The following is a 23,683-nucleotide window of genomic DNA, read 5'->3' as shown; positions in this document are numbered from 1 at the left end:
TTAGAAAAACCTCTATTAAAATTCATATGGAATCAAAAGAAGAGCCCTAATAGCCAAGGCAATCCTAAGCAAAAAGAACAAAGCTGGACATATCATGTTACCCAACTTTCTAAACTACAAGACTACAATAACCAAAACAGCATAGTACTGATTAGAAAAGAGACACATAAATGAAAGAAACAGAATAGAAAGCCCAGAAACAATGCTGCACAAGTACAACCATCTGATCTTTGTCAAAGTAAACAAAAACAAGCAATGGGGAAAGGACTCCCTGTCAATAAATGAAGCAGAAATAACTGGGTAGCCATATGCAGAAAATTGAAACCCTATTTCCTTACACCATATACAAAATCAACTCAAGATGAATTGACATCAAAACCTAAAATGATAGAAACCTTTAATGATACCTAGGAATTACCATTGTGGACATAGGCCCTGGCAAAGATTCAATGATGAATACATCAAAAGCAATTGCAACAGAAACAAAAATTTACAAATGGGACCTACTTAAACTAAAGAGCTTCTTCACAGCAAAAGAAACTATCAACAGTGTAAACAGGCCACCTCTAAAAGGAAGAAAATATTTGAAAACTATGTATCCAATAAAGGTCTAATATCTAGAATCTGTAAGAAACATAAATCAAGAAGCAAAAAAACAACCCCATTAAAGACTAGCTTAGGACATGAACAGACACGTTTAAAAAGAAGACAAACAGTGGCCAACAGGCATATGAAAAAATGCTTAGCACCACTAATCATTAAAAAAAAATGCCAATCAAAACCACAATGAGATACCATGTCACACCAATCAGAATGGCTATTATTAAAACGTCAAAAATAACAGATGCTGGCAAGGTTGTGGAGAAAAGGGAACACTTAAATACACTGCTGATCAGAATGTAAATTAGTTCAGCCGTTGTGGAACACAGTTTGGCGATTTCTCAAAGAACGTAAAACAGAATTAGCATGAAATGCAGCAATCCCATCATTGTGTATATACCCAAAGGAATAGAAATCTTCTACCATAAAGACACATGCACACTTAGGTTCATTGCAAGCAACACTGTTCACAATAGCAAAGACATGGATTCACCCTAAATGCCCATTCATGGTAGTCTGGATAAAGAAAATATGGTTTATATATGCCATGCGATACTATACAGCCAGAAACAAAAGAATGAGATCATGTCCATTCCAGCAACATGGGTGGAGCTGGAGATCATTATCCTGAGTAAAATAACACAAGAGCAGCAAACCAAATACCACATCTTCTCACTTAAGTAGGAGCTAATCATTGAGTACACATGGACACAAAGAAGAGAACAACAGACACTGGGACCTTCTTGAGGGTGGAGGGTGGGAGCAGAGTGAGGATCAAAAAACTACCTATCACATACTATGTTTTTACTTGGATGATGAAATAATCTGTACACCAAACCCTCATGACATGCAATTTACCTGTATAACAAACCTGCACATGTACCCCTACACCTAAAAGTTAAAAAATAATACATATAGTATCATTATAATAAAATAGTCTGTTAATCAAATACAGTGTTGATAGACTGAAAAGTCACTCCACAAACTGGGAGAAAAATCTTTGCAAACCACATATTTGATGATGACTAGAATATATACAGATATCCAAAAACTAAATTATAAGGGAAAAATAGGCAAATGTGCAATGTCATGAAATCATTACATTTTAGTTTCTCAAGATATTTTTGCATTTTTCCATTGTGCATTTTTTGTGTTCTTACTAAATTTGCATGTCATTCTGAAAAGTTAGATACATCTAAAAATTGATTAATTATAATTGTACAGTTTAATGAATATAAAAGGAACATCCATTTAAGAAAAAAAATTAAAGATGAAAATGCTGGCAAGGGTGTCGAGAAAAGAGAACCCTTGTACACTGTTCATGGAAATGTAGATTGGTGAAACAATTATGGAAAACAGTATGAAAATTTCTAAATAAATTAAAACTAGAACTGCCATGTGACCAGCAATCCCTCTTCTGGATGTATACCCAAAGGAAATGAAATCACCACCTCATGAAGAGAGATGTGCTCTCATGTTCATGGCAGCACATCAAAAAGCTAATCCACCGGCTGGGTACGGTGGCTCACGCCTGTAATCCTAGCATTTTGGGAGTCCAAGGCAGGTGGATCACCTGAGGTCAAGAGTTCGAGACCATCCTGGCCAACATGGTGAAACCCTGTCTCTACTACAAATACAAAAGAATTAGCTGAGCGTGGTGGTGGGCACCTGTAATCCCAGCTACTTGGGAGGCTGAGGGAGGAGAATTGCTAAAACCCTGGGGGCAGAAGTTGAGTGAGCCAAGATCACGCCACTGCACTCTGTCTTGCGACAGAGGGAGACTCCATCTCAAAAAAAGAAGAAAAAAAAAAAGTGAATCCACCACAATCAAGTAAGCTTTAACTGGGATGCAAATTTGGTTCAACATATGCAAATCAATAAACGTGGTTCATCACATAAAGAGAACTACAAACAAAACCACATGATTATCTCAATAGATGCAGAAAAGGCTTTTGGTAAAATTCAACACCCCTTTATGTTAAAACCCTCAAATAATTAGGCATTGAAGGAATATAATTCAAAATAGTAAGAGACATCTATGTCATTCCCACTACCATCATCTTTATTCATTCATCCATCAGTGACCCCTTAGGTTGTTTCCATATCTTGACTACTCACAATAGCTGAGATATGAAAACAACCTAAGTGGTCATTGAAGGATGAATGAATAAAGAAACTGTAACATGGATACTTATTCCATCAAATGTATATGGAATAGAATATTATTCAGCCTTAAGGAGAGCCTGCCATTTTCCACAACACGGATGAACCTGGAGGACATTATACTAAGTGAAATATAAGCCTGACACAGAAAGAAAAATATTGCACAATCTTACATATAGGTGGAATCTCAAAAGTTCAAATATATAAAGAAAGAGAATAAAAATGATTACAAGGGGCAGGAGTGGGGGGAATTTGGGAGATGTAGGTCAGAGGATAGATTCAATGTGGCAGATATGCAGGATGAGTAATTCTAGAGATCTAAAGTACATGAAAACTATGGATGATAAAACAGTACTGTATTTGGGATTACTGTAAAATGAGTAGATTTTAGTGGCTCTTGCCACAAAACAAGGAAGAGTAAATATGCAAGATTATGACTATGTCAATTTCCTTCACTATAGTAACCATTTTACTAATGTTTCACATAACTTCATGTTGTATATCTTACATCTGCACAATAAAATTTATTCAAAAAGACTAGTCCAAAAGACATCATTTTGTCCCATTTTATATCCTGTCTGTGAGCCAGTAGTTCACTGTGTTTATTTATAATCTACATAGCAGGATTGTTTCTCTAATCATTTGCATATATTTTGCATTTCCCTTATAGATAAAACTGTGAAATATGGAAACCCAAAAAACCTTGAATGTTTGTTCATCTGACTTAAGTTGGTTTATCTAGAACTCATTTGGACAAAGTAAGATACAGCAAATAAATATTTAAAAATTCTGTGTGAAGATAAATTATTAATAGTATATTAATACCAGTTTTTATTATTAGAAACAAAAATAGACTGAGAAAGTGAGACTGAGAAACATGTAAAACTATTGTTTAGGAGAGTCATATAAAAATTTGATAGAACTGTTGTACGTTTCTCTTAATGGAAACATTGCTGCAGCCATGCTATAATAAGTCTGGTATATGTACTCTAGCTGTGCCAATAGAAGGAAAGGAATAGGGATTTGGTAGATATCTAGAAATCTCTGCCATAATAAAATGGATAATTTTGTCATAGTGAAACATCTGTTCAGACTACTGAATTCATAGATGAATGCAACAAGCACACACTGATCACCCTCTTTGCATACGACATTGAGAATGCCCTGGGAATGCATAGACAACTTAGTCACATGCCTGCTATTTAGGACCTTACAGATAGAAATAATGTAGTAGTTTCTTCCAAGAGCAATCGTGTCTGCTTCTTGTATTTTTCTGGAATCCAGAGAAGGAGGACTGTTTTGCTTTAAAATTTGCCTTAGATATTTTGTCTTTATCAAGGAATTTGCTTACTGTAAAGAAAAGTTGTCCAGAGATCATCAATAACATTAATCATTAATCTAGTGAAAGACATAAATTAGGCCACTGAACGGTCTTGCTTTATTAATTGAAAATTTTTACTAAAAACACTCTAAGAAGTGTCTTTATTAAGAAAGTGCATAATTTATTTGCTTTTCAAGCTTTTCTCAATGTTTCCAAATTTTCTTATGGCAGAAAAATTTGCTCATATACTTAGTATTCACAGTAGGGCAAACTGTTAAATATTTTATTGCAATTTATTGTAGTGGTTAAGAATGTATGCTTCTGAAACAAATAGATTTGGTTTTATGTTCTAGTTCTCTGATATAATTGAGCTATGTAACTGGGAAAAGTCACTAAATCTTTATATGCTTCATTTTTCTTAAGATTAATAGAATTCTTTTGTGAATTAAATGATGTAAGTACATAAAGCTTTTAGCACAGTTTCTGGCAGAAACAGTGCTCAATACAAATTAGCGTTCACTATGTATAAAACTTGGGGACCTTTAAAAAACTATAACTTTAAAAACTAAAAAAAAAGATTTTCGAGAAATAAAAGAGGTGAATGAAGCCCAGAAAATGAAAAATTTACTAATTTATTAAATACAGAATCTCGAAGGTGAGTTACATATTACATATCTCAATGGAATTTTCACAAAATTTAAGAAATAAAAATACTACAGTAAATAATTTTATAAGAGTGTTATTTAAGGAAAAGAATAACTGGTTCCTTGTGAGCTACAAGGATTTTATTAGACTTCATGCAAAGTAATCTTGCTTTTTTAGTGAATGTGTTAATGATATAATTAATAATATCTCATAAAGGGAAAAACTCCCGGAGATAATCACTACCGGCAACATAATGTTTTGTCATAATTCTTTTTATCTTAACAATTGATTGAATTTTATATATTACTTTTAGCTTCTATTTAGAATCACTACTACAAATGTTTGTGTAAATAAAATTAGGTCGTATATTTTTTTGTAATTTAACATGAAGTCAAGGTTTGCCTTTTGTGAGAAGCCCCACTTTTTCCAAAGACAATTGGATAATTAATTTCCCCTTTTATTTTGATTGAAGAAAATACACAGCGTAATTTTCTTCCAAAATGCAGTGTATACATTTCGTAGGTTTTAAAACTTGTCTGTGTGTGCATGTATAAACTTATTTTTAGATCATTTCTGAGTTTAAATTTTTGAATGTTTTTATAGGTTGGTTTGCATTTTGAAATGGAGATATGTAGTCATATATCTTTCTATAATATATGAAAGAAAAATGTTCTTTGTCATATGCTTTATGTGGCTGTGCTTATAAGAGCAAAAATTAAACATTTGCTACTTATAATTTTGTTGCAGTTTCTTGGTAATCTACTTAAATATAAAAATGTGTTTATTATATAGTTATTTAAGTAGAGTACAAAGGTTTAGATTGTGCTAAATTGGTTCTTGATGGCTGATCCATCAGGATATTTCTGGGAACTAACACATAGCATAACAGTTTAGCTTTGAAAATATGAGTTTCATGAACACTTGCATTTGAAATAGAGGTACTGCACAAAGACAAAATGTAACCTGGGGAAATTGACTTATTTATATCCTTAAATTACTAACTGGTTTTCTGTTTCTTAAAGGAAACAAACAACAATAACTCACATTTTGATGTGTGACAATGCTCATGACAAATTTTTTTTTTACTGTTAAATTCCAATTAATCTTTTGATGGGAACTATGCTTCACAAGATCCAATAAAAACTATGTGCACAGTATTGAAATTATTTGCCCATTTTCTACAGCAGATCTACTTAAAGAGTCAGCAGCATCTGGAAGATTTTCTCCCTTTTTATTTTTAGTTTTATAGCAATGCTGTGGTAGCACTGGAGAATGTGTTCAGAATGTTTATAAATAAGTGCAGGAAATAACTTTGAAATCAGCAGCTGTTCAGACACATGCATCTGTTTAAGTGAATAGCTGCATACATCTCTCTAGTAAAAAGGGAATCTGAATTTAATCCAAGCTCTAAGTGTTACAAACAAGACACTACCTGTTTTTAAATGTTAAGCTAATTGCTGTGAAATCTGCCCAGCTGGCCAAAGGCATAGCTACTTGAGAAGTGACTATCGTTGAAAAAAAGATGATGTAGAATATAGTGTCCCAGTATAATAAAACTAATTCGCTTGGTGTTTGCTGTTTCTATCTCATGGTTCAAATATCTGTGTCCCCTTTTCTCACACGTATTTTTATTGCATTTCAAAATAATTTGTTTAATAATAAATTCTTAACAAAAATATGACATTGAAATAGAAGTGGACTCATGCACATTTAGCAAAAGAACCAAAAATACCTTCAAATGTATTGTTAAGACATCTGCGTAAGCCAGGTGCAGTGGCTTATGCCTGTAATCCCAGCACTTTGGGAGGCCGAGGCAGGGGGATTGCCTGAGCTCAGGAGTTTGATACCAGCCTGGGCAACATGGTGAAACCCTGTCTCTATGAAAATATAAAAAATTAGCCGGGCATGGAGGCATACGCCTGTAGTTCCAGCCACTCGGGAGACTGAGGCAGGAGAATTGCTTGAACCCAGGAGGCGGAGGTTGCAGTGAGCCAAGATCGTGCCACTGCACTCCAGCCTGGGCGACAGAGCGAGACTCTGTCAAAAACAAACAAAACAACAACAACAACAAAAAACAAACAACAACAAAACACATCTGTGTGAGATTCAGATGCATAACATGAGCAGAAGCAGAGATTTCAGAGGACCTGATAGGTTGCTAATGAAACTGCGATAAGAAAGAATTCTCATTTGCTGTGGTTTGAATATTTGTCCCCTCCAAAACTCATGTTGAAACAGTCCCCAATGTGGGAGTGTTGAGAGATGAGGTATTTGAGGTGACTGGGTAAAGAGGGCTTTGCCTTCATGAGTGGGTTAGTTCATTCATGCATTAATGGATTAACAGGTTAATGGGTTAGTGGATTAATAGGTTGTCATGGGAGTGGAACTGATAGCCCTATGAGAAGAGAAACAGAATCCTGAGCTAGTATGTTAGCACCTTCTGCCCACTCACCATGTGTTGCCCTGCACTGCCCCAGGACTCTGCAGACAGTCTCCCTCAGCAAGAAATCTCTCAACAAATGCAGCTTCTCAGCCTTGGACATCTCAACCCCCATAGCTGTAAGAAGTAATTATTTTCTCTATAAATTACCCAGATATCATATGCTGTTATAGCAACAGAAAATAGACTGACAGCATATTAGTGAAGAGCTGGGGCTACAAAATATGAATTAAGAAGAAATGCTCTGCTTCATTTCTGGTTACTGGGTTGATTACTTCAGAGACTGAAGTTGCTTAGTTTTATTATAAAACAACAGAAGCTCTGGCCCACCAGCCAATTCTCTAAGTAGATACAATTATAAACACGAATATGGCAAATACCAGACCTCCAAAATACATGATTCAAATGTCGCCAGAATGAAAGGGACAAATTAACAACTCTCCAACAATAGTTCTAGACTTAAATCTCTCACTTTCAATAATGGATAGAAAAGAGAGATAGAAAATCAACAAGCAAATAAATGACATGAGAAACAGTGTAGACCAATTAGAGCTAAGGGACATAAGTAGAACACTCCATCTAACACTAGCAGAATATACATTTTTCTCAAGTTAATGGAATGTTCTAGAAGATAGGTCATATATTACTTCATAAAAAATAAAAGATTAAAACCATATAAAGTATATTTTGCAATCATAATGTAATAGGAACAAAAATCAATAGAAGGAAAATGAAAAAATCCACAAATATGTAGAAATTAATCACACTCTCAAACAACCAACAGAACAAAGAAGAAATCATAAAAAAACTGGAAAATGTATTGTGGAAAATGAAAACAAAACACAACATACCAACAATTATGGGATGTAGAGAAAACAGTGCAAAGAGGGAAATTTACAGCTATAGATGTTTACTTTAAAAATAAATACCTCAAATAAATAACTTAAATTTTCACCTTAAGTAGCTACATAAACAAGAAATTAACCCCAGTCTAAGGATAAAGAATAGAGTGAAGATAATTAAAATATAAAATGAAAAAGTAGAGAAAATCAACAAACCAAAAAGTTGATTTTTCAAAAAAAATCAAAATTGACAAATATTATTTAGTCTGACTAGAAAAAGAGAGAGACAGAAAGAATATTCAAATGTCTAATATCATAGAGTGGGGACAATACTATTTAACTTAAATAAATGAAAAGGAGTATAAGAAAGGACAATGAAAAACTGCACACAAACTGATCGAGTTAGCTAGATGAAATGGACACATTTCTAGAAACATACTGTCCTTCAAGAGTGAACCACGAGGAAATAGAAAAGTCTGAATAGACTTACAACTAGTAAGAGATTGAATCAGTCATCTACAACTTCTCAACAAAGAAAAGCCCTAGCCAGATGGCTTCATTAATGAATTCTATTAAACATTTAAGAAGAAATTAAACCAATAATCAAACCTACCAAAAAACGCAAAGATGTTTCCTAACTTATTCTGTTAGTTCAGCATTAATTATCCTGATACTGAGACTAATGATCTATCACTCTCTCCATATATATGTAATATAAATATTTACATACATGTAAATATAAATATAAATTTATATACAACTACAAACCAGTATTTCTTATGAACATTGATGCAAAATGCCTCAATAAAATACTAGCAACCCAAATTTAGCAGGATATTAAAGGATCACACACCATGTGCAAGTGGTGTAATATTTATTCCTGGAATGCAAGGATGGCTTAGCATATAAAAATCAGTGACTATAACATACCTCAGTAACAATGAAGTAAAAGAAGTACAAATAATTCTCTCACTTGTTGAACAAAAAGCATTTGGAAAAATACAACATACTTTCATGATAAAAACATACAACTAAGAAGAAGCAGATAGAAACTACCTCGAAATAATAGAGGCCAGACCTGAAAAGTTTGCAGCTACCACTAAACTAAAGGTGAAAGGCTGAAAATATTTCCTCTCAGTTGAGAAGTGTGGCAAGGATGCCACTTTCACTTATTTTATTCAACATAGTATTGGAAGTTCTAGCTAGAACATTAGACAAAAAAAGTAATTAAATACGTATTGAAAATAAAGTATTAAAGTTATTTCTGTTTACAAATGACATAATCTTATATGTAGAAAACCCTCAAGATTCACCCTCCCTGGGGGAAAAAATACTGGTAGAACCAGTAAACATACTCCACAAAGTTTCAAGGTACAAAATAAATACATTAAATTTAGTTGTGTTTCTATATGCTAACAATGAACAGTCTTAAAATGGAATTAAGAAAACTACTTTATTTAAAATAGAATGAAGAAATAAAATATTGGCTCGGTGTAGTGGCTCATGCCTGTAATCCCAGCACTTTGGGAGGCGAAGGTGGGTAGATCACCTGAGGTCAGGAGTTTGAGACGAGCTTAGCCAACATGATGAAATTCCGTCTCTACTAAAAAAGGAAAATAGCCAGGCATGGTGGTGGGCATCTGTAATCCCAGATACTCGGGAGCCTGAGGCAGGAGAATCACTTGAACCGGGGAAGCAGAGGTTGCAGTGAGTTGAGATCTTGCCATTGCACTCCAGCCTGGGTGACAAGAGCAAATCTCCATCTAAAAAAAAAAAAGAAAAGAAAAGAAAAAAGAAAAAAAAAGAACATTAAGGAATAAACTTAACCTAGAAGACATTGTATTTTTATACTAAAAACTTTAAAACATTGCTGAACGAAATGAAAGAGAACATTAATAAGTGGAAAGATTCATCTTGTTCATATATTAGAAGCCTTAATATTATTCAGATATCAAAGCTACACAAAGCAATCTACAAATTTGATGAAATAACCTCTCAAAAACTGAACTACAATTTTTTGCAGAAATAAAAATATACCATCCTAAAAATTCATGTGGAGTTTCAATAAATAGTCAAAATAATTTTGAAAAGAAGTGGAACGTTAGAGGATTTACACATCCTGATATCATAACTTACTATAAATACTTATTAATAAAAAGTGTAATGCTGCCATAAAGACAGACACATAGAGAAATGGAATAGAAGAGAGCCTAGAAATAAAACTCATGTACATGGTGAAATGACTTTGACAAATGTACCAAAACCACTCATTGGAGATAAGATAGTCTTTTCAACAAATGATACTGAGAAAACTAAATATTCACATGTACAAGAGTGAAGTTGGAAACTTATCCTATATCATTTACAAAAAGGATCAAAATGGATAAAATAACTAAACAAAAGAGCTAAAACTACAACAATTATTTTAAAAAACTCTTACCCAGAAATACATATGCTATGTAGCCACCAAAATTAAAAATAAAAAATTTTAAATAAAACAAAACAAAAACTCTTAAAAAATTGCAAGGTAAAGCTCATAAATTGGTATTTGGCAATAATTTCTTAAATATGACACCAGCAGTATAGGAAACAAAAAGGAGGCATATATCAAATTGTACTTCATGTACACTAAACAGTACTATCAAAAAACTGGAAAGGCAACCCACAAAATGGAAGAAGTTACTTGCAAATCATACATCTGATAAGGTCTTAATATCCAAAATATATAAATAATTCCTTCATTTTAACAATATTGTGAAACAAACACTCAATTAAAAAATTGGCTAAAGACTTCAATAGACATTTATCCAGAGATGATATACAAACGGCTAATAAGCACATGTAAAGGTAACTGAATGGCACTAATCATTAAGGAAATGCAAATCAAATTCAAAATGATATGCCACTTCACACCCACTTGGACAGATATTATAAACACACTTGCACACACGATACACGCACATAAAGAAAATTACAAGGCAAGGTTGTGGAGAAATTACAATCCTTGTACATTGCTGCTAGAAATGAAAAGGGTGCAGCTGCTGTTGCAAACATTGTGGTGGTTCCTCAAAAACTCAAACATGGAATTACCATGTGATCCAGCAATTTCATTTCTAAATATGTAAGAAAAATAACTAAAGCCTTGTTTTTGAGATCTGAAGTTCTTTCTTCCACTTGTTCTAGTCTACCCAAATGAAACACACACACACACACACACACACACACACACACACACACAGAAAAGTAAATCTGGTAATATGAAAAAATAAAACTTTATAACACCCCCAAAACTAAATTGCTAGAGCAATCACACTAGCTCCCCAGCAATGGATCCCAACCAAGAAGAAATAAGAAGAAATCTCTGAATTGCCAGATAAAGAATTTAGCAGGTTGATTGTTAAGATGCTCAAGGAGATACCAGAGAAAAGTGAAAACTAACTGAAAGAAATTAAAAAACAATACATGCTATGGATGAAAAATTCTCCAGCGAGACAGCTGTCATAGAGAAAAAACAATCACGACTTCTGGAAATGAAAGGCATACTCAGAGAAATAAAAAAATGCGGTGGAAATTTTCAATAATAGACTAGAACAAGTAGAAAGAATTTTGGATCTTGAAGACAAGGCTTTTGAATTAACCCAATTAGACAAAGACAAAGAAAGAGAACCAAAATATTGAACAAAGCCTTCAGGAAATTTGGGGTTATGTTAAGCAGCCAAATCTAGGAATATGGTGTTCCTGAAGAAGAAGAGAAACTTAAAAGTTTGGAAAACCTATTTGAGGAAATAATTGAGGAAAACTTCCCTGGTCTTACTAGAGATCTAGACATCCAAATAACAAGAAGCTCAATGAACAACTGGAAAATTCATTGCAAAAAGATCTTCACTTAGGCACATAGTAATCAGGTTATCTAAAGTCAAGATGAAAGAAGGACTCCTAGGAGCAGTGAGACAAAAGCATCCACTAACCTATAAAAGAGAACCTATCAAATTAACAGCAGATTCTTCAGCAGAAACCTTACCAGCCAGAATGGATTGGAATCCTATCTTTAGTGCCCTAAATCAAAATAACTCTCAGCCAAGAATTTTATGCAGTGAAACTAAGCTTCTTAAATGAAGGAAAGATACAGTCTTATTCACACAAAAAACGCCAAGAAAATTTGCCACTACCAAGCCAGCCAGCACTACAAGAATGCTAAAAGGAGTTCTAAATCATGAGGCAGAACTTCAAAATACACCAAAATAGAACCTCCTTAAAGCATAAATCTCAAAGGGTTTATTAAACAACAATGTAATACAAAAAATTCAAGGTATTTCACAACTAACATGATGAATAGAACAGTACTTCATATCTCAATACTAGCATTAAATGTAAATGGCCTAAGTGCTCCATTCAAAAGATACAAAATGACAGAATGGATATTGATTCACCAACCAAGTAATTGCCTTCCTCACAAAACTCACCTAACACTTAAAGACTCACATAAACTTAAGGTAAAGGGGTGGAAAAAAACCTCCACACAAATGTAAACCAAAACCGAGCAGGAGTAGCTATTCTTATATCAGACGAAACAGATTTCAAAGCAATAATAGTTTTTTAAAAAAGACAAAGAGGATTACTATATAATGATAAAAAGATTAGTTCCACAGGAAATTATCACAAACCTAAGTATATTTGAACCTAATACTGGAGCTCCAAAATTCATAAAACAATTACTACTAGACCTACAAATTGAAATAGACAGCAACACAGTAATAGTGGGGGACTTCAGTACTCCAATGGCAGCACTAGACAGGTCATCAAGAGAGAAAGACAACAAAGAAACAATGGAATTAAACTATATCCTACAATAAAGGGGCTTAACAGATATTTACAGAACATTCTACCCAACAACTGCAGAATATACATTATTTTCATCAGCACATGGAATATTCTTCAAGATAGACCATATGACAGCTCACAAAACAAGTCTCAATAAATTTAAGAAAATTAAAATTATATCAAGTACTCTCTCAGACCACAGTGAAATGAAATTGGAAATCAACTCCAAAAGGAACCTTCAACACCATGAAAATATATAGAAATTAAATAACCTGTTCCTGAAAGATCATTGGATCAACAATAAAATCAAGATGGAAATGTAAAAATTCTTTGAACTGAACAATAATAGTGACATAACTTATCAAAACCTCTGGGATACAATGAAGGAAGTGTTAAGAGGAAAGTTGATAGCAATAAATGCCTAACATCAAAACATCTGAAAAATCACAAATTGACATTCTAAGGTCACACCTCAAGGAACTAGAGAAACAAGAACAAATCAAAACCAAATCCAGCAGAGGGAAAGAAGTAACAAACATCAGAGCAAAACTAAATGAAATGGAAACAAACAAACAAATAACAACAACAACAAAGGCAAATGAAACAAAAAGCTGGTTCTTTGAAAAGATAAAATTGATAGACCTTTAGCAAGATTTACCAAGAAGAGTGAAGAAGCAAATAAGCTTAATTAGAAATGAAATAAGATATATTACAACTGATAATAGAAATACAAAAAAAAAACATTCAAGGGTACTAGGAACACCTTTACATCAACAAACTAGAAAATCTACAGGAAATGAATAAATTTCTGGAAATATACAACCCTCCTGGATTAAATCAGGAAGAAATAGAAACTCTGAACAAATGAAAAACAAGTAATGACACTGAAACTATAATTGTTAAAAAACTGCCAACAAAGTAATGTCCAGGGCCAGAAGGATTCACAGCTGAATTCTGTACGACATTCAAAGAAGAATTGTTACCAATCTTACTTAAACTATTCCAAAAGATAAGGAGGGAATCCTCCCTAAATCATTCTATGAAGGCAGTATCACCTTAATACCAAAAGCAGAAAAAGACATAACAAAAAAAGAAAATTACATACTAATATACCTGATGAATACAGATGCAAAACTCCTCAACAAAATACTAGCTAACAAAATCCAAAAGCATATCAAAAAGATAATACGCCATGATCAACTGGATTTCATAGCAGGGATGCAGGGATGATTTAACATACACAAGTCAATAGATGTGATACATAAACAGAATTAAAAGAAAAATTATATGATCATTTCAATAGATGCAGAAAAAGCATTTGACAAAATTTGGCATCCATTTATTATTAAAACTCTCATCAAAATTGGCATAGAAGGGACATACCTTAAGGTAATAAAAGCCATCTATGACAAACCCACAGCCAACATTATAATGAATGTGGAAAAGTTGAAAGCATTCCCCTTGAGAACTGGAACCAAAACAAGGATGTGCATTTTCCCCACTTCTATTGAACATACTACTGGAAGTCTTAGCCAGAGCAATCAGATAAGAGCAAGAAATCAAGGGCATCCAAAGGGCATCCAAATCATTGACGAGGAAGTCAAGCTGTGACTGTGCAACGATTATATGATTGTATACCTAGAAGACTCTAAAGACTAATTCAAAAAGCTCCTAGATCTGATAAATTAATTCAGTAAAGTTTTAGGATACAAAGTCAACGTAAAGAAATCACTAGCACTACTATACAACAACAGTGACCAAGCTGAAAATCAAATCAAGAACACAATCCCTTTTACAACAGTTGCAGAAACAAAACAAAACTTTGAAATTTATCTAACCAAATGGGTGAAAGATCTCTACAAGGAGAACTGTAAAACACTGCTAAAATAAATCTTCAATGACATAAACAAATGGAAACACACTGCATGCTCATGGATGGGTATAATCAATAATGTTAAAATAACAATACTGCCCAAATCTATCTACAGATTCACAGCAATTCTCATCAAAATAACATTATGATTTTTCACAGAACTAGAAAAAACAATCTTAAGATTCACATGCAACCAAAAAAAGAGCCCGCATAGCCAAAGCAATGCTAAGCAGAAAGAACAAATCTGGAATCATCACATTACATGACTTCAAACTATACTACAAGGCTATAGTTAACAAAACAGCATAGTACTGGTATAAAAATAGCAGGTGGACAAAATAAACAAAATAGAGAACCCAGAAATAAAGTCAAATACTTAGAATCAACTGATCTTTGACAAAACAAACAAAAACATAAAGTGGGGAAGGACACCCTATTCAACAATTGGTGCTGGAATAATTGACAAGCCACATGTAGTAGAATGAAACTGATCCTCATCTCTCACCTTATACAAAAATCAACTCAAGATGGGTAAAATACTTAAATCTAAGCCCTGAAACCATAAAAATTCTAGAAGATAACATCAGAAAAACTCTTCTAGATATTAGCTCAGGCAAAGAGTTCATAACCAAAAAGCCAGAAACAAATGCAAAACAATAACAACAACAAAAACATAAATAAATATATGGAACCTAATTAAACCAATAATCTTCTGCACAGCAACATAAATGATCAGCAGAGTAAGCAGACAACCCACAGACTCTGTGTGGGAGAATACATTTGAAAACTATGTATCTGACAAAAGACTAATATCCAGAACCTACAAGGAGCTCAAACAAATAAACAAGAAAATACCCCAAATAATCCCATCAAAAAGTGGGAAAAGTGGGAATTGAATAGACAATTCTCAAAAGAAGACAGACAAATGGCCACAAAGCATATAAAAAAGCCCCACATTACTAATCATCAGGGAAATGAAAATTAAAACAGCAATGAGATACTACCTTACTCCTGCAAGAACGGCCATAATTTAAAAAAATCAAAAAATAATAGATGTTGGCCTGGATATGGGGAAAAGGAAACACTTTTACACTGCTGGTAGAAATGCTAACTAGTACAACTACTATGGAAAACAGTATGGAGATTCCTTAAAGCATTAAAAGTAGATCTACTATTTGATCCAGGAATTCCACTACTGGGCATCTACTTGAGGAAAAGAAGTCATTATATGAAAAAGACACCTGCACACACATTTTCATAGCAGAACAATTCACAACAACAAAAATATGGAACCAACCTAAATGCCCATCAATCAATGAGAAGATAAAGAAAATGCAGTGTATATATTCAGCCATAAAAATAATAAAATAATGGCATTTGCAGCAACTTGGATGGAGCTGGAGACCAATATTCTAAGTGAAGTAACTCAGGAATGGAAAACCAACTATCATATGTTCCCACATATAAGTGGAAGCTAAGCTATGAGGATACAAAGGCATTAGAATGATATAATGGACTTTGGGGACTAAGGGGAAAGGATGAGAGGAGGGTGAGGGATAAAAGACTACACATTGGGTGCAGTGTACACTGCTCAGGTGACAAGTGCACCAAAATTTCAATAACCACTAAAGAACATATCCATGTAACGAAAACCACTTGCTCTCCAAAAAATATTGAAATTTTTTAAAAACCATGAAATTCACGTAGCATGAAATTCTGATGCATACTACAACATGGATGAACTCTGAAAACATTATGTTATGAGAAATAAACTAGACACAAAATGACAAATATTACATTATTCCACTTCTATGATCTTCCTAGAGTAGACAAATTCATAAAGACAAAAGTAGAATAAAGGTTACTGTGGGGTTAGAGTGAAGGAGGATTTATTGTTTAATGACTAGAGAATTTCAGGTTGGGATAATAAAAATAATTCTAGAAACTAGTAGTGGTGATAGTTGCACAGCAACATGAATAAACTTAAGGCCATTAAATTGTACACTTAAAATGATTAAAATTTTATGTTCTGGTAAAAATGGTAAATTTTATATTACACATATTTACAATAAAAAGAAAAAATATTTTTTAAAAAAGCAGGAAAGACATGGTCCCACTTATTTTCCTATATAAGATCATATGGAAACATGATACTTGGAACTGCTGCAATCATTGCTCAGCAGTGAGTGGAACCAGCCCAGGACAATGCCATCTCACAGAGGATGACAGAGACAGATGGAAACAACTCAATTCCTTGGTGACATCATGGAGCCGGACTTCCTTTTATGAGAAATAATAAAATCCTTTATTGTTTAAAAGAAAAAAAGAGATAAAAGTGAGCCAGGAAACCACAAGAATAATACAGGAAATTTAAATATATATTACAAAGTGAAAGAAGCCAATCTGAGAAGGCTACTGTATGACTCCAACTGTATGACTTTCTGGAAAAGCCAAAACTGTGGCGATAGTAAGATCAGTGGCTGCCAGGGACTTCCAGGAGAGAGTGAGATGAAAGGGATGAAAGGTGGAGCACAAAAGGTGGATGAAATAGGGTAGTGAAAGTATTCTTTATGATGCTACAGTGTTAGATGTATGTCATTAAAATTTTCGAAACCCGCAGGACTGTGCAACACAGAGTGAACTTTGATGTTAACTATAGTTTTAGTTAATAACGGTGTATCAATATTGTCTCATCAGTTTTAACAAATGCACCACACCAAAGCAAGATGATAAGAATAAAGGGAATGAGGGGGCAGTGTGGGAGTAAAGGAGGACTTAATTTTCTATTCAAATTTTCTGAAACTCAAAACTTCTCAGAAGAAAAGTCTGTTAATTTAGGAAGTAGCTATGAGTGGCATTTATGGCAGAATAACATCTGAGGAGAGCCACTCTAAAATGGAAAGCATTTTCTCAAATCATGCACAGCCAAGGGTTGCCTGCCTCTGAATGAGGCTAGCACATCGAGGATACGGTAATGGTTTTTAAATGACCCCTCTCCTAGTGATATATCCTGTACAAGACAGAGGGTTGATACATCATACTTACCATTGTTAGACAAGCCCTTGTGTCTGGAGAACAGGTAGTAAAAACTAAGAACCATGGTTCCCACTCTTCAGGGTATGATAGGAGCACCTACTTTTCTGAAGTTAACAGCTGCATATAATATAGTCTCACTAATATTTGTTAGTAATTTTTATCACCAGTTCTGGAAAACTCTAATGTAGGTTACTTTCAGCTTAATTTATCTATTTATCTATTGCATTCATGTAGGCTTGCTTCCCAAATCAATTCCCCAAATTCAATAGTGCAGTTATGTGGTTACCTTGCCCAATAACTAATAATGACCAAAAGAAAAGGAAACAGAAATATTGAACTTATTTTCATCTCAAGTTCTAAATAAGATGAATAATTAATTATTTGTTTTGGAGGGCTGCAATGAGCAAGTTTCTCATTAGCATGTTCACATGCACATGCACCCTGAATTCTCAACTCTTTTATTTCACTTGACTATCTTTCCCAAAATGTCAGGTTCTTATAGATTTGAGTGTAAGCAAATTTTTTCACTGCTGACACTAGGTGTGGACTATGTTCCCTTTGTCATTTTTTGATCCAGATGTCGTGCATTATAGGATAACACGCATGTGAGATCAGAAGACTCAGGTTTCAGTCTTGACTTCACTACTTTTAACGTGTAAACTTTACTTGCCCTCCCAGACTCTTAGATTCTTTTACTTTTAAAGAGGACCATTATACCTTGTTGAATATTATTTAAACCCCGGGAAGTATATAATACATGCCAAGAAGTACCCTAAAAAGTATGTCAAATGTTCATGCAAGAAATGGGTTTAAGTTGAATGAGATTCAGAAACTGTTTTTTTGTTGCTATCTTAAAACAAATTAGGATGATACAGTCAAGTAAACTTAAACTTTTCCCTTTCTGCCTGCTTTTTCCTCTTCTTCCTGGGGACTAACAAGAATATAAATTGGGGAATTTCCTTTCATTGACAAGTTAATGTAGCATGCTCTGTGATGTGAGGGAACCAGAAAGAGGTTCAAAGCACTTAGCATACAAAATGTAACACATAAATAATTTCTAAGAAACTAAGTCTTTTATGTGAATAGAACACTAGGAATTTCTTATGTAGACCCTGAAGGATATCTTTGCAATAACTTGATTTGTGCTATGAAATACACACCTAATTTTAAACATTTCAGGAGACAATAATGTAAAGCCTTATTTTAAAGTTCCCATTCTTTACTTCCACATATAATCAATGCATCAGTTTTAGTCTATACTCAATTTCATAAGCAGACTTATCACATCAGTGCTTTGATCTAACAGCAGGGCATGATATGGGTGCAAATCTGATTAAAACCAAACCACCACCATCACCACTAACAACAACAACAATAGATATTGATGGTGTTGAGGGACATTGATGGCATCTGAGGAAGGCTACAATCGACTGTAAAATTGGGCAAGACAGGATTAACTAAATCCAGGGAAGTGATTACATGAAGACTGAAGACAAGAAGAATTTTCCTCTGTCCGTAAAATGGATTTAACGTCTCAGATGTGGATCTTCCTGTCTCTTGAGCTGTGATGGGCATTTGTTGACACACTTACAGAAAATAACTTGCTCTGTGTCTCTTCTGGACCAAGGAAACCCTGTTCTGTAAAAATTTACCTATAGGATTAGTCTAACCTCTGCACATACAGGCAGAGACTAGGGCAGGGGTGTTGAGGGTTTTGCCTAAGGACAGACAATAATGGGTTTCCGAGGAAGGAATTGAGATCTCTTGCCAAGGCTTTTCTTCAGTATTGCTCAGTCTCTCTAAGGAATGGCCAGATGACCAGCGGTTTCTGTGTCTAAAAACTGCACACAAGAAGGAAAGGGCCGTAGAGGTTACTCCCTGAAACGACAAGTTCACCTTCTATCCTCACCAGCTTTCCAAAGCAGATGAACAGAAACAGAGCAAATAATTACTCCTCCCATTTGCTTCAAAATGATGGTATATGATTAATCCTCCAAAACAAATTATCCAATAAGAAACATTTGAGTAATTACATTTTCTTTGTATCCTACCCTGCATTTCTTTCTCTGAATGAAATGTGCTGAATAAGCTTAAGTAAGCATTGACTCACTACTGGCATTGTTAGCCTACTGAGTTAAGGAAAATAAGTCGCATGAGAAGTAAAGGAGAAAATACACATATGTGAGAAATATTAATATAAATGCACGCAAAAACCCAACCAAACTTAAGTAAAAATATTGAGATTTTATTAAATAAATTTTAAAATTCCCAGAAATTATTTAAAAAGTTAACCATCAGAAATCCTTCATGCTTCTTCAAATTTAAATTTGCATTCTACAGTTATTTTTCACTTTTCATCTGGCTCACCCACTACTTTGCATTTGAAAAAATACGTATTTATTCTGAAATTTAAATTGGTGCTATATATTTTCAATGTGATAATAATTTGCCTACTTCTACGTCTTAAAGTCCTTACAAATATAACTATATGTAACCATCAGATGGAAAATAATACTTTGTATGTGTTTTATATATAGTAATATGTATATACAACATGTATATATTAATATATAAGTATATTACTAATGTGTGTATATTATATATACTTCTATACTTATGTACTTACATGTCTGTATATATAGATTATACTTAAAAAAGAAAACTATTTAAACACTTTCCCCCAAGAATTGCATACAAAATTATAAATTTTTGATGAGAATAGTTGAAACTTCAAAATATAATTTTAGAGCCTAGAAAATATTTTTATGTCCAAACAAACACTTTTGAAGTCTGAATATATTTTAATTTGCTTAATAATCAACATTAAGCAGCATATTTAACTTACCCCACTTCCAATAGAGTAATATATTTTTAATCCCTAAAGTCAAAAATGCATTATATACTTTTCAAATAGTTATTTAAAATTATATAAAAGATTTTAAAGGACAAGCTGTTTATGTTTTCCTAGAACTTTCACAGAAGAGCTTACACATTTTAAATATGAATTAATAAGTAATTGAAATATGAAATGATGAAGCTAGGAGAATATTTTTATAATGATGATTAATATTTTAAATAAAAAGTAAAATAATATGTACTTCTTGCTCTCTCATACATCAAAAATTGCTTTTATTGGAATCAAGGTGAAGTAAAATAAATCCATAAGAAAGCTAAGCCTTGTCTTCCTTGCCACACAGCTCTGAGCATCATGGAATCAGAAAATTCCTGATGATTTAGTGCAATTATAAAATAACTGATTGCAGCTCATATATTCTACAACGTCAGCTCTTCAGGAATCCATACATCTAAAATAAGTCAGTCACATTACTTGTATATTTCTGAATTTAGAATGGTAACAAAAAATGATTTTATATCAACTGTGACTCAGAGTGACACAAAACCCTGTGTGTGGGGGGTTAAATTTCATTCTTTATTGCTTAATTTATGAGTAATCATTGAAGTGTACATTACTTCAAGGAAGTAATTCTTGAAGTGTATGTTTCCTGGCTGCACTTACTCTACAAGCCAATTCATGTTTTTTGACCTAACTCTGCTTCAACCCCAAATTACAGAACTTCTTTTTTCAAATCAGCATCAATCTGAGATCAATACTTTAGGCAGGGTTCTGTGTTTGTTTTGGTTTGTTTTCTTCCCCACGACCACCCCATCCCAAAACATCCTAATTCATTTAAGAGAGAATTCCTCAAATCACAGCATCACTTTTGATGTGAATGTTCACACATATTCTATTTGTGACTATCACCCTTATTGATTTGCAGGACAAAGAAGACAGAAAATACTACACACTACCCAGAGATTGAAACTGAAGGTGTGAACAACAGAGAAAAGAGAGGGCAAAGAAAAGGAAAACAAAGAAGACGTGGGATATGAAAGGTGTATGCCATGTGTGGACATCAAGAAATGTTTCAGCTCGCACTTCTGCCACCAATTGAGCCTGGAACCTCACTACTTGGAGTTGGGGGGAGGGCAGTGCTCATTCATCACCTGTGAAAATAGGGATTGAGAGTTCCCTAACTTTGCCATTTTTCCTCAAGCACTGGCATTGGTCTTCTGAATGTCAGGCTCTGTATAAGTGAGTCCTCAGCTGAGCCACAGGCTCTGCATTCCTGGCAGTCCACACACTTCATATCCTTTGTTTATGCTGCTCATTTTGGAATTCAAACAGGTTGGTGGGGCACATTTCAACAGATAATGACACACACTGACTGCTCATGAGCTATTTTATGGTGTGAGAATGTTGTGATGTTATGAAATGCGGAGGCATTAAAACATGGGGACATTTTCTAGAAGATCCTTAGCAGAGAGTACAGAAGACTAAGGTCCAAATCTCTGAAATGATGTTTTCCAAATTATTGCACAGCTATGTCAAAGTACCTTGATCCAGTTAATGTTAACAAATAAAAAATTATGAAATGTTATTTTCTAGGTATGGATAGTAGTGGATAGTAGTAGATCTGTTGTGTAGTGGAGATTACTTAGGAAGAATAAATTTCAACTTTACCAAGAAAGTACTACATTAATTGCATTAGGGAATTGTGAATTGCATTAGGAAAATGCTCATTCTTCTTTCAATAGCCAATATCTGGATACTATACTCTCTTGAATTTCTAAGATTTGCATCCAATATTCTATAATTAGCTTTCCAGTTTATTGAATGATTTAATTTACATACAAATATTTTCTAATATATTCCCTGTAAAATAGTTTAAAAAATTAAACGTTTCTCTAATTACACATTCCTCCCTAGCTGATACAATTTCATTTATTTGCTTACTTTCCCAGCTGGACATTCAGAAATTTTTTACTCATATTGTCTTCAATTGCATATTTGCCAGTTTCTAGCTTTTATTTTATTTTTTATATCCATTTTGTTCTAGGTGTGGAAATTGCTAAGTGTAGAGCTTAATAATATTTCACCAGAAAGATATGTGTCTAACTCCCTCATGAAGAAATAGTATGTTACCAACACTCCCAAATTTCCTTTGATGTCAAAAAGCATTATTTTTCTCGAGTCTTTTTTTGTGTTGGTATGATATATAAACGAAATCATATACACATTTATTTTTTCATTTAGATACTTTCCTTCAGTATTATGATTGAGACATTAACCTCAGTTTAAGTATTTATGTCATTTTCATTGCTAGTTCATTGTAAGAAGCACACCTTTTATTTATCTATTCCCTTAATACATATTCCTGTTTCCAGTGTTAGATTAATGCAAATAAGGCTATCGTGAGCATTCTTTTACATGTTTTTCAGTGTACAAATATATGCTGAGAGAGGAATTACTGAATCACAGAAAGCAGTATATGCAGCTATAATAGATATTACCATATCCACCAAACGTTTAGCATTTCCTGTTTCATTTTATTCACTCTGGGGGATGTATAGAGATTTCACATTACATTATAATTTAATTTCTCTAATGTCTAATGATGGGGAGCACCTTTTTCATGTTTTTATTGTCAATTTGGCTATCTTCTTTTTCTAAATGCATGTTCAAGTATTTCATCCATTTTTATTGGTCTTCTTTTTTTACTGGTTTAATTGAATTCTTTACATATTATGGATATGAGCTCTTTGTCAATTTTATATGTATGCTTATATTCACTCCTACTTCACTCTGCAGCTTGCTTTTTATTTTTATGCTTTTAATAATGAACATAATTTCTTTATTTTAATAAATATCATTATTTTTCTTTATGGTTAGTGTATTTGCAACTAGGTTAACAAATATTTATCTCCTTTACAGGCACTAATATATTTCCCAACGTTATCTTCCAAAAGAGGTCATGTTGTACCTCTTGTATTTAGGTATACAATACATCTGAAATTGATTTTTGTGTGTGTTGCAGTTAGTAATGAAGATTCTCTTTTGATATAAATATCTAACTGATTCAGCATTATTTCTTTAAAAGGCC

General features: G+C 33.5%; 1 long non-coding RNA gene across 1 annotated transcript in view; it reads left to right on the top strand.

Annotated features, from left to right (window-relative positions):
- Nucleotides 1-23,460, top strand: part of LINC01446 (long intergenic non-protein coding RNA 1446) — a 156,423-nt gene extending 132,963 nt beyond the window's left edge. The window contains exon 6 of the long non-coding RNA NR_038371.1: nucleotides 21,521-23,460. This is a non-coding gene — a long non-coding RNA (long intergenic non-protein coding RNA 1446). The remainder of the gene's footprint in view (nucleotides 1-21,520) is intronic.
- Nucleotides 23,461-23,683: the final 223 nt, after the last annotated feature.

This window comes from Homo sapiens, chromosome 7 (genome assembly GCF_000001405.40).
Source record: "Homo sapiens chromosome 7, GRCh38.p14 Primary Assembly".
In the NCBI taxonomy this organism is placed as follows: Eukaryota; Metazoa; Chordata; class Mammalia; order Primates; family Hominidae; genus Homo; species Homo sapiens.
Note: the sequence above shows the minus strand (reverse complement) of the source record. Positions and strands in the feature narration are given on the sequence as shown.